The sequence below is a fragment of the Homo sapiens genome, chromosome 18 (genome assembly GCF_000001405.40).
Source record: "Homo sapiens chromosome 18, GRCh38.p14 Primary Assembly".
Lineage (NCBI taxonomy): Eukaryota > Metazoa > Chordata > Mammalia > Primates > Hominidae > Homo > Homo sapiens.
The window spans coordinates 61564004-61579070 of record NC_000018.10 but is presented as its reverse complement, the minus strand read 5'-3'; the positions used below and the strand labels follow the sequence as shown (position 1 = coordinate 61579070).

The window sequence follows — 15067 nt, the reverse complement described above, 5'->3', positions numbered from 1 at the left end:
CTGGGACAGATTGTTTTCTCTCAACTGGCAGCCCCAGCAGCCTCCTGCTTATGCTGGCCTTGATGGTTCTGCTCTGATCCAGTGGCACTCAGTCTACCTGGATCCCATTAACAGTAGAAGGTACAGTCCCCAAAAGTGCCAGCCCCTGATCTTCCATGCCTTTTGGATGGAGCAAGGGTAACCCACTTTGGACAGGCATCAGATGGGGTTCAGTTATTCTTAGGGAATGTAGATATAGTCCCTGGTCTAAGGATGGGAATGTGACATAGATTAGGGAGAATATAAGAAGTCTGCTTGGACCTTCTAGGAAAAATTTTTCCTCCCTAATAAGAGGAAGTCACAGAAAATCTTCTAGCCCTATGCTCAGCTTCCTGCCCTTGAACACAGTTTGAGATCTGAACCTTGAAGCTGCTGATGCCATCTTACAAACCAATGGGGAAGCCAAGAGAATTCAGCAACATTGGCCCAACGCCATTGAGTCCCTTAAACAGCATGGCATTTCTTATTTGTGACAAAAACAAATCTTTGCTTAAACCATCATCCGCATGCTGCTTCTGTTCCTTATAGACAGATACCAGTAGCTGAACTGATGGCTGTGTCAATCATGGTGTGGTTGCTCAGGTCCAGGGGGCGTTGCAGATTATCTGACCTGGAGTGTTACTGTAGAGGTTTTGGAACGCTGAATTTTACACAGAAAATCTTTGGCTTTGCTCATTTTCTACCCTGCTTTGTTTTCCTTTGGGCTACTCTTTCACCTAGCTACTCATCAAATGATCTATCCTGAGTGCAGGAATAAAATCAATACTAGAGCCAGTTTCCAAGTAATAGGGAGGTAAGCTTTGACTTTTCTCTTTCCCATTTCTTTTTAGAATTTATATAAATTTAGGGTGTACAGAAGCAATTTTGTTACATGTGTACAACATGTAGTGGCAAAATCTTGTTTTTCAGTGTAGCCATCACCCCAATAATGTACATAGTACCCATTAAGTAATTTCTCATCACTCTCCCCTCTCTTGTCCCTCCACCCTTCTGAGTGTCCACTCTCCATCAGCCCACACTCTTTGTCTATGCATACACATTATTTAGCTCCCACTTATAAGTGAGAACCTGAGGTATTTGATTCTCTGTTTCTGACTTGTATCATTTCTCAGCATTCGCATCCAGATATTCAGAGCCCTCAATGTCCCTGACTCTGTACCTTGTTTCTCATCTCCATCCAAACCTCTCTCTCTGACCTCTTTGGTCTTCACAGCCCCAACTGTTGCTGGCCTAAGGGGTCACCTTCCCAGGTAGTATGGCATTTTCACATAGTGGAGATGACTTGGCCAATCATGAAGCTAGGCACCCTTCTCTCGCCCTTTTCTGTTCTATCTAGTCTATCCTCTGCTCATAAAAAAGTTTTCAAGCATCTAGTGCCTTCTTGGTGTTCAATAGGGTACCATTTTTAATCCCAGGGGACTCAGTTGTCTTATCTCTGAAATGGAGATAACAGTATTTTGTCTGCTCAGAGACTGAGGATCCCGTCCTCTAAGCTCTTTGGATTCTTTCTGACTCCACAGTGCGTACCTAACAGGGCACTGTTAGGGCCCTGTTTGTCTTGGCTCTATGAAAATTATTACCACTTCAGTACCCTGATCAATGCTGTGATGGATTTTTTAAAAAGTCTTGATAAAAGAGGTTTATCTCCCCCAGGGTGTTTGCATTTTCAGAGATAACATGTGGGGGAAAATGTTGAAAAGTTCAAGACCTTTTCTGAAGCCCAATGCAGTCAGTTATTCTACCCTTGTGACCAGCCCATTCCTAAAATGAGTACATGAACATCCACAGTCTGGCTTTTAGTTGATTTTCTCTTCTTTCAGATTCACTGCAGATTAGAGTACCCAGAATTAGCCAAGACCTTCAACATTTAATGACTAGCCATGGAGAAGAAATAAGATGAACTGCTTGTCCCAGAAAGCGATAGAACTTTGAAAGCAGCTATATATTTCCTAGCTACCTCTAAAAAATGGAGCTGTCTTCATGAGACCTGTAAGAAGCCAACAGGTAACTTGAGATATAATACTTAAAGGAATGGCAAAGTAACTGATCTAATTAAGACATCCCCCAAATATCACAAAGTAGGAAGATTGATGCTGAAAGAGATGCTTTGAGCACCATTGGTTGCCTGTAAGGAGTATGATTTCAAATGGCAAAGTTGACTGGAGAACCTCCTAGGCATTAAGTGGTTTTCAAGAAGACTTTCTTTGGCTTTCTCTTTGTTCATGAAACAGAAAACTGTGTTTGGGTTGCATTCCAATACAGAGAGACTTAGTCCCTATAAGATTGAAATGTGCTGGTTCTTAGGTAATTAGGACTCCTTCCCAGCCCAATCGAGAAAATTGGCTTTGCCTTATGCTTGGAAAGAAAGTGGAACGTAAATGGAAGCCAGTAGATATTTCACCTGCCACTCAACTCATTAAGGTTAATAGCAAATGAATAAACAGAAATTCTGTTGAGGGATGTGGCATGTGTACCCAGTCATTGGTGACATGGCTATGTGCACACGGAGACTTGCTCTGTCAGATCAGTAGGATAATTTTAGCTTTTACTTTTGCCCCTTAGATCTGAGGTTTCTCATTCTGTCCTCAGTGATTAATGATGTTCTGTTACTTCAGATGCCCAAAACCTGGCTCTGGCAATTGGATGTTCATTTGGTTGCCCTGATGTAATCATTGAAGGGAATGGCGTTAATGGACCGTGGAATAGTTGGCCTCCATATGTGGATGGACTGACTTATGTGGATGGACTGACTTAGACTGAATGTTAAAGTGACCCAGTTTATTGTTTGATAATTGGCCATGAAGTGAACCAACACTAACGTATTTGGTGATTCAGTTATTCTAAATCACTGTTTGGTATGAGATGAGAGAAGAATGGGAATAATATCTAGTGTTAGTTCTGTAATTTTGTTAAGTATTTTTGAGGCCCTGCTGTGGGCTGAGTGCTGTTCTAGGTTCTGACAGGGTGTTGGAGGAGAGATTAAAAGGTGAACAAGATATTGCTTCTGATCTTGATGTGTTTTTATCTGGAGAAAGAAGACTTCGGGCCTCATATCCTATTTTGCTCAACTCAGGGCAGAGACCCGAGAAGCATTAAGATTTAAAATGCAGGAACGTGTGAGATCATTGCATAAAGACTCATTATAAAAATGCCAAGCAGTCTGAGAAGCAGTAGAGAGAACATAATTAAAAGACACTGTTTTAGTTTTCTAGGGCTGCTGTAACAAGGGAACACAAATTGGTGGCTTAAAATATCAAGAATTTACTTTATCACAGTTCTAGATGCCAGAATCCAAAATCAAGGTGTCGGTAGAGTTGATTCCTTCCTGGAGGTTTAGAGAAAGAGTCTGAAGATGCCTCTCTTTTGGCTTCTGGTGGTTGCTGGAAATTCTTGGCATTCCTTGGCTTGCAACTGCATAGCTTCAACCTTTACATCGGTTGTCACATGGCCATCATCCCTCTATGCCTTTCCATCTCTGGCTTTCTTCACTTCTTATAAGGACACCAAGAAATACTGGATTAAAACTACTCGAGTATGACCTCAGTTTAACAAATGACATCTGTAATGACCCTATTTCCAAATAAGGTCACATTCTGAAGTTCTGGGAATTTGGGGGTATGTGTGGGGACACTATTCAACCAAACTTTTCACCAACTGACATACCTACAAATGTTGACAAAATCAGCAGGGCAGGAGAGTAAAGAAGTGAAACAATATACTTCCAAGAAAGAAGCAAAGAGAAGAAAGGTATTGTTCTTCTATTCCTCTCCCCTTAGTTTAATACAGGCACCGAAACTTGAAGTAGGACTGTAGCAGAACTAATATGATAATTACTTTCAGAGGAAAATGTAGGGGCTTTTTTTTTTTTTTTTTTTTTTGACAGGGTCTTGCCCTGTTGCCCAGGAGTGCAGTGGTACAATCTTGGCTCACTGCAGCCTTGACCTCCAGGGCTCAAGTGATCCTCCCACCTCAGCTTCCTGAGTAGCTGGAATAACAGGCATGTGCCACCATGCCTGGCTAATATTTGAAAATTTTTTACAGATATGAGGTCTCACTATATTGACTAGGCTGGTCTCCAACTCCTGGGCTCAAGAAATCCTCCTGCCTCAGCCTCACAAAGTGCTAGGATTGCAGGAATGAGTCACTGCCCTCAGCCCTGGGATATTTTATATTATGAAGTAGATGCAGTTTACTCTTTCCTGACTTTTTGTGGTGTTGGAAGATAAACTGGCTTTGGCTTTACTTTAACTCTGGAGAAATTGTGGAACAGGATGAGAAAGCAAGCCTGGAATAGGTGATTTAGGTTTGCTCTAGGCTTGGGAATACACAGAAATAGGACCTTTTGGGGTTCATTCTAACATCTCCAGAATAGCTCACTTGGAGACAAGGGAAGTCAGAAATTTAAGACAGACTTTTCTCCTGGAATAATAGTGTGCATTTAATTGTGTTTCCCCTCAATCTCTACGACTCCTGAAAATGTTGTGTCCAGAGGGTGAAGAATGCTAAATAGCCAGGCACAAAATAGTTACAATACCAGTGAATGTGCTGAATTCCGGGAGAGGTATTAACTCTGTACATAAGAACTCTGAAGTGGTAACTGTCTCTGGATCAGAAGGCTTCACGAGATGGAGCTGGAAGGCTGAAGTATGTTTTTGATAGTTGGAGATGGGGAAGAGCCACAGACTACAGTGCTATTTGATATCTCCAATCTCAAAAATGTGTGCTGCTAATTTTGAAAAGAAACAGAAGAAAGTTAATTGGTCAAGGAAATCCATTCTTATTCATGGAAAAAAAAACCCAAAACTGGGGTACATGTTTTTTGATGAGGCATCAGTAGTCATTATCCTATTCATATTGGTCATAGTCATACCATTGATTATTGATATGATTTGGCTGTGTCCCCACCCAAATCTCATCTTGAATTGTAGTTCCCATAATTCCCACACATTGTGGGAGGGACCTGGTGGGAGGTAACTCTATCATGGGGGCAGTTACCTCCATGCTGTTCTTATGATAGTGAGTGAGTTCTCACAAGATCTGATGGTTTTATAAGGTGCTTTCCCTCTGCCTTCACTCTGCAGTTTTCCTCACTGCCACCATGTGAAGAAGGATGTGTTTGTTTCCCTTCCTTCATGATTGTAAGTTTCCTGAGGCCTCCTCAGTCCTGCAGAACTGCAAGTCAATTAAACCTCTTTCCTTTATAAATTACTCAGTTTCAGGTATGTCTTTATTAGCAGTGTGAGAATAGATTAATACGGTTAGTTTCTCTTCTTAAGAGAAGTTAACAATTGTTGTTGTATCAGTCAGGATAGGCTAAGTTATGCTGAAGTAACAAATAACTCCAAAATCTTAGTAGCTTAACACTATAAAAGTTGGTGTCTCTGTCATGTGACAGCTGTTATGTCTACTCAATACAGTCGCTCAGAGACCCCAAGCAGCAGAGGCGCCATCCCGGCATAGGCTATAAAGCTCACCATAGCAGGGAGAAGAGCACATAGCAAATCATGTACTAGCTCTTAGGGATCATGTTCATATTTCATTAGCTAAATGGAGTCACGCAGCCATATTTAACTATAAAGAAGTGACAAAATGCAGTCCCACTGTGTACCTGGAAGGAGGATGTCTTAGTCAGTTTGGGCGGTTATAACAGGACATCATAGACTGGCTGGCTTAAACAATGTTTATTTCTTACAGTCCTGGAGGCAGGGAAGTCTAAGATCAAGGCACCAGCAGATTTGGTTTTTGATGTGGTCTCTCTTCCTGGCTTGTACTTAGCTGCTGCCTTGCTGTGTCCTCATGTGGCCAAGAGAGTAAGCTCTAGTCTCTTTTTCTTTTTATAAGGTCAATAATCCCATGATGGGGGTTCCACCCTCATGAACTCATTTAAACCTAATTACCTTCCAGATGGCCCCACCTCCTAATACTATTGCATTGGAAGTTAGGATTTCAACATATGAATTTATAAACACAAGAATGCAGTTTATAACAGAGGAGTTACTGGAATGTCTGGGAACAGCCCTAATGACTACCACATCAAGATGTAGATTTCTTGTGCTTTAGAGTTCCTACACATTGGCACCATCATTCTTTTCAGTTCAGGAGAGCGAGAACTCTCTCCTGCAGTGTGGAACTTTGACCAAACAACTGAATACAATGCTGAGAAACCTCTTAGAACATGGCCATGGGTAATAGTGCTATTTGTAATCAAAGACTTAAAATAGAAGGACAAAGGATCTATGGCCATCCCTTGAAGAGTTTTAGGATTAGTATTCAATAATTTAGGCTCTCAAGTGTGCTAGTTACCATACAGGCTATAAAAATAATATATCTACTTTAGTTTGCTATTCATGTAGTTTATCCATTTATACCTTATTAGAAAACTTGGCCAAGGACAGTTGTGTAATACAATTAATGTGCCCCTCAGTTAGATGGCCACATTTCTCCTGTATTGACATTTTTACATCTGCTTTTGAGGCAGGAGAGGTATCCAAGGAAGTAACCATGTTCTTGGGATGCAGCAACCTTGGTGATCATACAATCAACAACACAAATCTCAGCATTTACATCGTAACTGAGCTCATTCAAGCAAAGCTATTTTCAATAGGGAATTTTCCCCATAGAGAGCATGTGCATTTTGATTTTACCTGTCCTCACAGTGACCCTTTGCTCATTATGATAGTAAAAAACACAGCCCTTGGGGGAGATTTAAGATGCTAATGAGACACGTAATGTATGAACAGACACGGACAGCTACTGTGCATGTGTACCCAGAGGACCACCCAGAACATGCTTACTAGTAACACCTCTTCCTACTTCCTTATGAATAATCATGTCAATTCCCATAAAGGGAGTTTCTCCAGCAAGAATCAATGCTGGAGAAACTCATCCTTATGAGCAGCCCGCCCTCTGTTCTCTCTCTCTCAGGGTGTACTGTCCATTCTGCACCTAACTCTAATTTTTTAATTATTTATTTATTTTGAGATGGAGTCAGGCTCTGTTGCCCAGGCTAAAGTGCAGTGGCATGATCTCGGCTCACTGCAACCTCTGCCTCCCAGGTTCAAGTGATTCTCCTGCCTCAGCCTCCCAAGTAGCTGGGACTACAGACGTGCACCACCACACCTGGCTAATTTTTTGTATTTTCAGTAGAGAAGGGGTTTCACCATGTTGGCCAGGCTGGTCTCAAACTCCTGACCTCGGGTGATCTGCCCGCCTTGGCCTCCCAAAGTGCTGGGATTACAGGCGTGAGCCACTGCTCCCAGCCCTGCGCCTAAATTTCAAAATATTTTTTTTCCTTTGCAGCAAATTGTTCCACACTCTATCTCCTTTGCTGTGTGTCTCTTGTTTAAATTATTTTAAGCTAAGAAGACAAGAACTGAGGTCTCACAGCAGCCGTCAACAGTCTAACTTTGGCTAGGGAGAGCCTATAGAAACTTCTATGCTGTGAGTTTCTATTTGTGCAACCTCAAATTTTGTTTCTTCTCTTTTAGATCAAATGGAGGTTCCCATGATTTTCTTTTTCCTCATGGAAACATGTTTGGTCAGAAGGGAAACAAACCAATTAAGGTGATACCAAAGGATGATCCTTGATACAGTTGTATTTTGGTGGAGCGTTGAGATTCGCCAGTGAACTCTAACAGTGAGGATGGCACTGGAATAAAAAGAGAAGAAACATGTACTAGAAGCCAAAAAACCTTGTCTTATTTTCTTTGAAAAAAGGATGCTCTAGCTAATAATAGCAATAGGGTTTCCACATGTGCTGTGCTGTTATTGTTGCCTGCAACAAAAGAACAACTTTGAATAATGAACAGTCTAGCTTCACAGCAGGACACTGTTCTACAGGGAGGCCCTCAATTATGGTGTATTTAATAATTAGAAATATGAGCAAGAATTGACCTTCCAAGTTGCATATATTATTCGCTTTACCTGCTCAATGTCACAGTGGGTGCCGTCAGGAAGACTGTGACTGAAAACCCTAAAGACTTTTCTGCCAAGTCCCATAAATAATCTGTTTGCCAAATGTGCCTGAGATGTACATGGCATATGCTTAGATCCATGTCGGAGTCTGGATGTGGCTCGTGGCCTTGAGTTTACAGAGTATTTGTACCTGTTTGTAGGGAAGGGACATACTGCAAATATGGCCGTGTGCCCATGCCCTCCAGAAAGAGACCCCTGCTCTTTTGAGAGACAATTAACCTGGGTATACAAGGTCCCTGATAACAAAATCCTACATGATGACATCTATTATTATTATTTTTTTTAAAGAGATAAAGTCTCGCTCTGTCTCCCAGGCTGGAGTGCAGTTGCACGATCTCGGCTCACTGCAACCTCCGCCTCCTGGGTTCAAGCGATTCTCCTATCGCAGCCTCCCGAGTAGCTGGTATTACAGGCGCCTGTCAACATGCCCAGCTAATTTTTGTATTTTTAGTAGAGACAGGGTTTTGCCATGTTAGCCAGGCTATTCTCGAACTCCTGACTTCAAGTGATCCACCCACCTTGGCTCCCAAAGTGCTGGGATTACAGGCATGAGCCACTGTGGCTGGCTGACATCTATTTTTTTTAAAATCTTTACATATTATAGTGAAATCATGCTTTCAGGAAAGAACTGAAGAGTGGAATTTTGAAATAATGATCACTCACTGATTCTCAGAGGATTCATACCAGTGTCCTTCCCTGGTTTTACTGCTCACTGTTAGGGCCAATCTTCAGTTCTCCAGAGCTTAAGGTTTAGAGGGAGTATCAACAATCAAAGGTCAGTAATGTTTTCAGAGAACATTCTATGCGTTACTATTCTTGGAGGAGTCAATGATATCCATATCCAAGGCGAGTGTTTCACACACAGCCTCTGTTTCCTTTTCTGGTTTCAGGTTTTTGCTAAGTTTATTTTTTAATATGGCAATGTATGTGCAAATACCTAGCACGGTGCTTCCATACAGTAGGTGCTCAATAGTTGACATCTTCCTTCTCCACTCCTTTTTCTAAACCTTGCATCTCAGCAGTGAGGATGTCAGCCTGGAGAATGCTGATGAGGCCCGGTGTGCCTCTTGGGTGTAGTTAATATATATCCTCAGGTAATGACTCTCATTTGAGAATCTTGTCTTGTACTGACCGTCATACAGTCCATTAGCCAAAGTCCCAAAAAGTCACTGGCAGATGTAAAAATTTGAGGTTGATGAAGCTAATCCTGGGGGTAGACACCAGGCCAGACTGCGAGTGCCCCTCGGTAGGCTAGCGAAGAAAAGAAATCAGGATGAGTGAACATCATTGCATATGGGCCTGGCAGGGAAATGCAAGGGATTGCATCAGGTTCCTGGGGCAGCCAGAGAATGTCAAGCATGAGAAACAGAAGGAAACCACACAGCCTGCTCTTTGAAGGTTAATTCTTTCACTTTGTAGGGCAGCTCTTCACTTACAGAGTCATGGCAAGGGGGAATTCACCAGCCTGGTCCATATGCTCTGCAGTCAAGCAGGGTGTGGGGCACCTTTCTGAACACCGTTTCTTTGCTGTTGTACCTGAGGACCCAGGGGCACTGAATACTGTTTCCAGCAAGCGTGGGCCTGTCTCCATTCTCAGCAATCTCTCTGCATGGCCCATATCAGCGGGGTCACACGAATGGAAGTGTCTCTTTTCAGCCATCTGGTGATTCATTCTTCCCTACCCCCTGTCTGGCATCGTGAGAGAGCTGCTCACACATTGCCAAGTCAGCTAGAGAGGAATGCTGCCACTGTGGCCTGCCAGACTTCAGTGGCACATTCAGAGGTCCTCTCTATGCACTCAAACTGTGTGTGATGGCAAAGTTAAAGTTAAAAAGAAAATCTCACAAAATGAATGCACTAGTTAATAGGTAAACTGGTGCGTGTGTGTGTGTGTGTGTGTGTGATGCATGTGTTGTAGGTACAGTCAAAGTGGCAAGGGCACATAAAAGCCTTGTGATTCAGTATTTTTAATGTTTAAATAGATTAAAATATGTTACATACATTTATGTGTACATTATGTATGTATATATCTTAGGGTGGCTGTAACAAACCGCCATAAACTGGGTGGCTTAAAAATCTCATGGTTCTTCCAGAAAAGAGCCCAAATAGCCAAGACAGTCCTAAGCAAAAAGAACAAAGCTGGAAGCATCACACTACCTGACTTCAAACTATACTACAAGGCTGCAGTAACCAAAACAGCATGGTACTGGTACAAAAAACAGACACGTAGACCAATGGAACAGAATAGAGAACTCAGAAATAAAGCCACACACCTACAACCATCTGATCTTCAACAAACCTGACAAAAACAAGCAATGGGGAAAAGATTCCCTATTTCATAAATTGTTCTGGGAGAACTGGCTAGACATATGTAGAAAATTGAAACTGGACCCCTTACTTACACCTTATGCAAAAATTAACTTGAGATGGATTAAAGACTTAAAACCCAAAACTATAAAAATCCTAGAAGAAAATCTAGGCAATATCAATCAGGACATAGGCATGGGCAAAGATTTCATGACGAAAATGCCAAAAGCAATTGCAACAAAAGCAAAAATTGACAAATGCAGTCTAATTAAAGAGCTTTTTTGCAACAAAATAAACTATCATCAGGGTGAACAGACAACCTACAGAATGGGAGAACATTTTTGCAGAAGAAAATCTAGGCAATATGAATCAGGACATAGACATGGGAAAAGATTTCGTGACAAAAAGCAATTGCAACAAAAGCAAAAATTGACAAATGTGATCTAATTAAACTAAAGAGCTTTTGCACAACAAAATAAACTATCATCAGGGTGAACAGACAACCTACAAAATGGGAGAACATTTTTGCAATCTATCCATCTAACGAAGGTCTAATAAACCAATTTACAAGAAAAAAAAGACCCCATTAAAAAGTGGACAAAGGACATGAACAGGCACTTCTCAAAAGAAGACATGCATATGGCCAATAAACATATGAAAAAAAAATCACTGATCATTAGAGAAATGCAAATGAAAACCACAATGAGATACCATCTCACACCAGTCAGAATGGTGATAATTAAAAAGTCAAAAAACAACAGATGCTGCTGAATTTGCAGAGAAAGGAATGCATTTACACTGTTGGTGGGAGTATAAATTAGTTCAACCATTGTGGCAAGCAGTGTGGCAATTTCTTAAAGACCTAAAGGTAGAAATACCACTTGACCCAGCAATCCTATTACTGAGTATATACCCAGAGGAATATAAATCATTCTTTTATAAAGATACATGCACATGTATGTTCATTGCAGCACTATTCACAATAGCAAAGACATGGAATCGACCCAACTGCTCATCAATGATAGACTAGATAAAGAAAATGTGGTACATATATTCTATGGAATACTATGCAGTCATAAAAAGGAATTAGATCATGTCATTTGCAGGGACATAGATGGAGCTGGAAGCCATTATCCTCAGCAAACTAATGCAGGAACAGATAACCAAACACTGCATGTTCTCACTTATAAGTGGGAGCGGAATGATGAGAACATATGGACACATGGTGAAGAACAACACACACTAGGGCCTGTTGGGGAGGGTGGGAGGAGGGAGCACATTAGGAAGAATAGCAAATGAATGCTGGGCTTAATACATAGGTGATGGGTTGATTTGTGCAGCAAACTAGCATGGTACACATTTACCTATGTAACAAAACTGTACATCCCGCACATGTACCCGTGAACTTAGGAGTTGAAGACTAAAAAATCTCATGGTTCTGGAGGCCAGAAGTAGGAAGTCAAGGTGTTGACAGGCATGGTTCCTCTTGGAGGTGTTGGGGGAGAATCTGTACCAGGCCTCCCTCCCAGCTTTTGGTATTACCAACAGTCCTTGGCCTTCCTTGGTGTGTAGCAGCATCACTCCAATTTCTGTCTCCATCGTCAACATGGTATCTTCTCTGTGTCTCTGTCTCAGTGTACAAATCTCCCTCTTTTTATAAGGATACTGGTCATTGGATTAGGACCCACTGTAATCCAGCCTGAACTCATCTTATTTTATGTCAATAAACAAAGACCCAATTTCCAAATAGGGTCACATTCCCAGATACTGGGTGTTAGGACTTAAACGTATCTTTTTAGAGGACACAGTTCAACCCACAACAAGGCTCAAAGACAATGCAGTGAAGAAAAGATAGCCCTTTTCAATAAATGGTGCCAGAGCAGTTGGATACCCATATGCAAAACAAAACAAAATAAAAAATAAAAAACAAAAGGACATTGATCATATCTAACAATCTACAAAAATAAACTCAGAAATGAATATAGACCTAAATGTAAAGCCTAAAAACACAAAACTTTCAGGAGAGAACATAGAAAAACAACTTTGTGACCTTGAGTTTGATAAAGGTTTGTTAGAAATGACGCCAAGGGTACAATCCATAAATGAAAAAAAAAATGATAAAATGGATGTTATCAAACTCAAAAACTTCTGACTTTTCAAAGATATTGTTAAGAGAATAAAAATGCAAACTACAGACTGGGACTATATCTTTGCAAAGCACATAAGTAATTTTTAAAAAGCATCTAAAACATAAAAAAGCATATAAAGTTTTTAAGGAATGTGTATGCAGAAAATATAAATAAATCTCAGAACTCAATAATAAGAAACAACCCAATTAAAAATGGACAAAACATCTGGAAACAGCATCAAAGCAGATATATGGATGGCAAAAAAGCACGAGAAGATGCTCGACATTATTAGTCATTAGGATATTGTAAGCTAAAGCCACAGTGAGATGCCGCAACTCTCCTATTATAAAAAGTCCAGCCACACCAAGTGTTGGTGTGGATGTGAAAAAAATGAAACTTTCATTTATTGCTAGTGGGAATAGAAAATGGTAAAAACACTTTGGAAAGCAGTTTTGCAGGGTTTTTTTTTTTCTTAAAGCATATACCTACTGTATATTCCATCCATTCCACACCTAGGCATTTACCAAGAAGAGGAAATATATGTCCATTTGAAGACTCATACATAAATGTTCATAGCAGTTTTGCTTACAATAGCCAAAAACTGCAAACAACCCAATTATCCATCCATATGCAAATCAATAAACAAATTGTCCTATAGCTATACAATGAAATGTTACTCAGCAACAAAACCCAATAAACTATTGATACACACAATGACACTGATGAATACCAAAATAATTATGATGAGTGAAAGAGTCGAGATCAAAGAAAAAAGTATCTATTGCATGATTCCATTTATATAAAAGTCTAGAAAATGCAAACCAATCAATAGTGGTAGAAAGCATAGCAGCAGTTGCTTGGGGTTGGAGAGGAGTAGGTCAGGATGGGAGGGAGGTGTTACAGAGGAGCAGGAGAGAACTTTTGGGGGTGACAGGTATACTCACCATTGTGACTGTGGCGGTGGTTTCATGGGTGTACACATATGTCAAAACTTAACAAATTCTATGCTTTAGATATGTGCAGTTTATTATACCTCAGTAAAAATTCAATACAATTGACCTTTTATTGAGGTCAATTATACCTCAATAAAATATATATATTGAATCCTTCTTATACATCAGATATTTTGCTAGGTGTTTTCATGAAATATTCATTTACTTCTGAAAGTACTTTGTGGTAGGGAGAGTGCTGAATTTCAAAGAATAATAATATATCTATGGAAATAAGAATATATTCTACAACGAAGAAATGGAGTGGAAGAAAGGAAATGATGAATGGAACCAAAAGTGATTTCCTGGAGTCAGAAAAAGAGGCAGGGTATTAAAAAAGGAAAAGACAATATGGCAGATTGTATTTTCCAACAATGGGCAACGTTATTTCTTATAATATAGATCTAGCTCTGACACTCTTCTCACTGAGAGGTGGAGCCCACATTCCCTCTTCTTCAACCTGGGGAAGCTTGTGACTGCCATAGAGGTAATGCTACATGACTTCTTAAGTCATTAAAGGTGATTTAGCTTCTGCTTGGTTTTCTTGTGATGTTTATACTCTTGTAACTCAGCCTCCATGCTGGGAGGATGCCCAAGCAGCTACATACCAAGGTTTGGCTGACAGTTGCTCCATTAGATATCCTTGTTGATAATCAGTGTCAACCACCAAGACATGGGTGAACAAACCAATGGATGTGTCAAGTCCTATCCCATGAATCACTCTCAGCCTTTGACCCTTCCCGGCTGAGACCCCAGACACTGTGGAGCAGAGACAGAGTGTCACAAAGTGTCAGATGCACCCTTTCTGAATTCCTGACCCACAGAATGTATGAGTATAATAAAATGGTTATCATTTTCACCAGTTTTTTAAATTAAAAAATTTTTTATGCAGCAGCAATGGTAACTGAAACGGGTGATAGGAAAGAAGGGGAAGAAATGGAAATAACAGTAAAAAAGACCAAGGATCCAGCCCTCCCGAAAAATTAGAGAAGATTCTATGGGTAGTTGTACCAGTTTTTGAGAGTGGCTACTCTCAGATAAGTGATGTAAGGCTTTCTGGGATAGGAGATAGAGAGCTTGGCATCACAGGCACCAGGAAGGTGACCACAGTAGCTAAAGCAATAGAGTGGAAGAAACTCTCTCATCATCAGTCATCTGATCATCCTTATAAAACCAACAGTGTGGCCAAACAAATGAGGTAGGATTTGCTAGCTTCCTGTCCCTGGAAGAAAGATGTAAGAAAAATTGGGTTGGAGTTATAGTTAATTACATAGTATATAAATTAGTATTCATGTGTATTTTTGCATAACATGAATCACAAGAGACAAAAATTCACCAGAAGATCATTTTAAAAGAGGGCCACGGCTGAGCTACAAGATGGCCAAATAGGAACAGCTCCAGTCTACAGCTCCCTGCATGAGTGACGCAGAACATGGTTGATTTCTGCATTTCCAACTGAGATTTGAAGAGAGCAGTGGTTCTCCCAGCATGGAGTTTGAGATCTGAGAATAGACAGACTGCCTCCTCAAGTGGGTCCCTGACCTCTGAGTAGCCTAAATGGGAGACACCTCCCAGTAGGGGCCGACTGACACCTCATATAGCCGGATGCCCCTCTGAGACGAAGCTTCC

General features: G+C 40.7%; 1 long non-coding RNA gene across 2 annotated transcripts in view; it reads left to right on the top strand.

Moving 5' to 3' along the window:
- LOC124904314 (uncharacterized) overlaps positions 1–3889 on the top strand; it is a 31764-nt gene extending 27875 nt beyond the window's left edge. For both annotated transcript variants that reach the window (XR_007066395.1, XR_007066394.1), the window contains one exon: positions 1860–3889. This is a non-coding gene — a long non-coding RNA (uncharacterized LOC124904314). The remainder of the gene's footprint in view (positions 1–1859) is intronic.
- The last annotated feature ends 11178 nt before the right edge of the window (positions 3890–15067 follow it).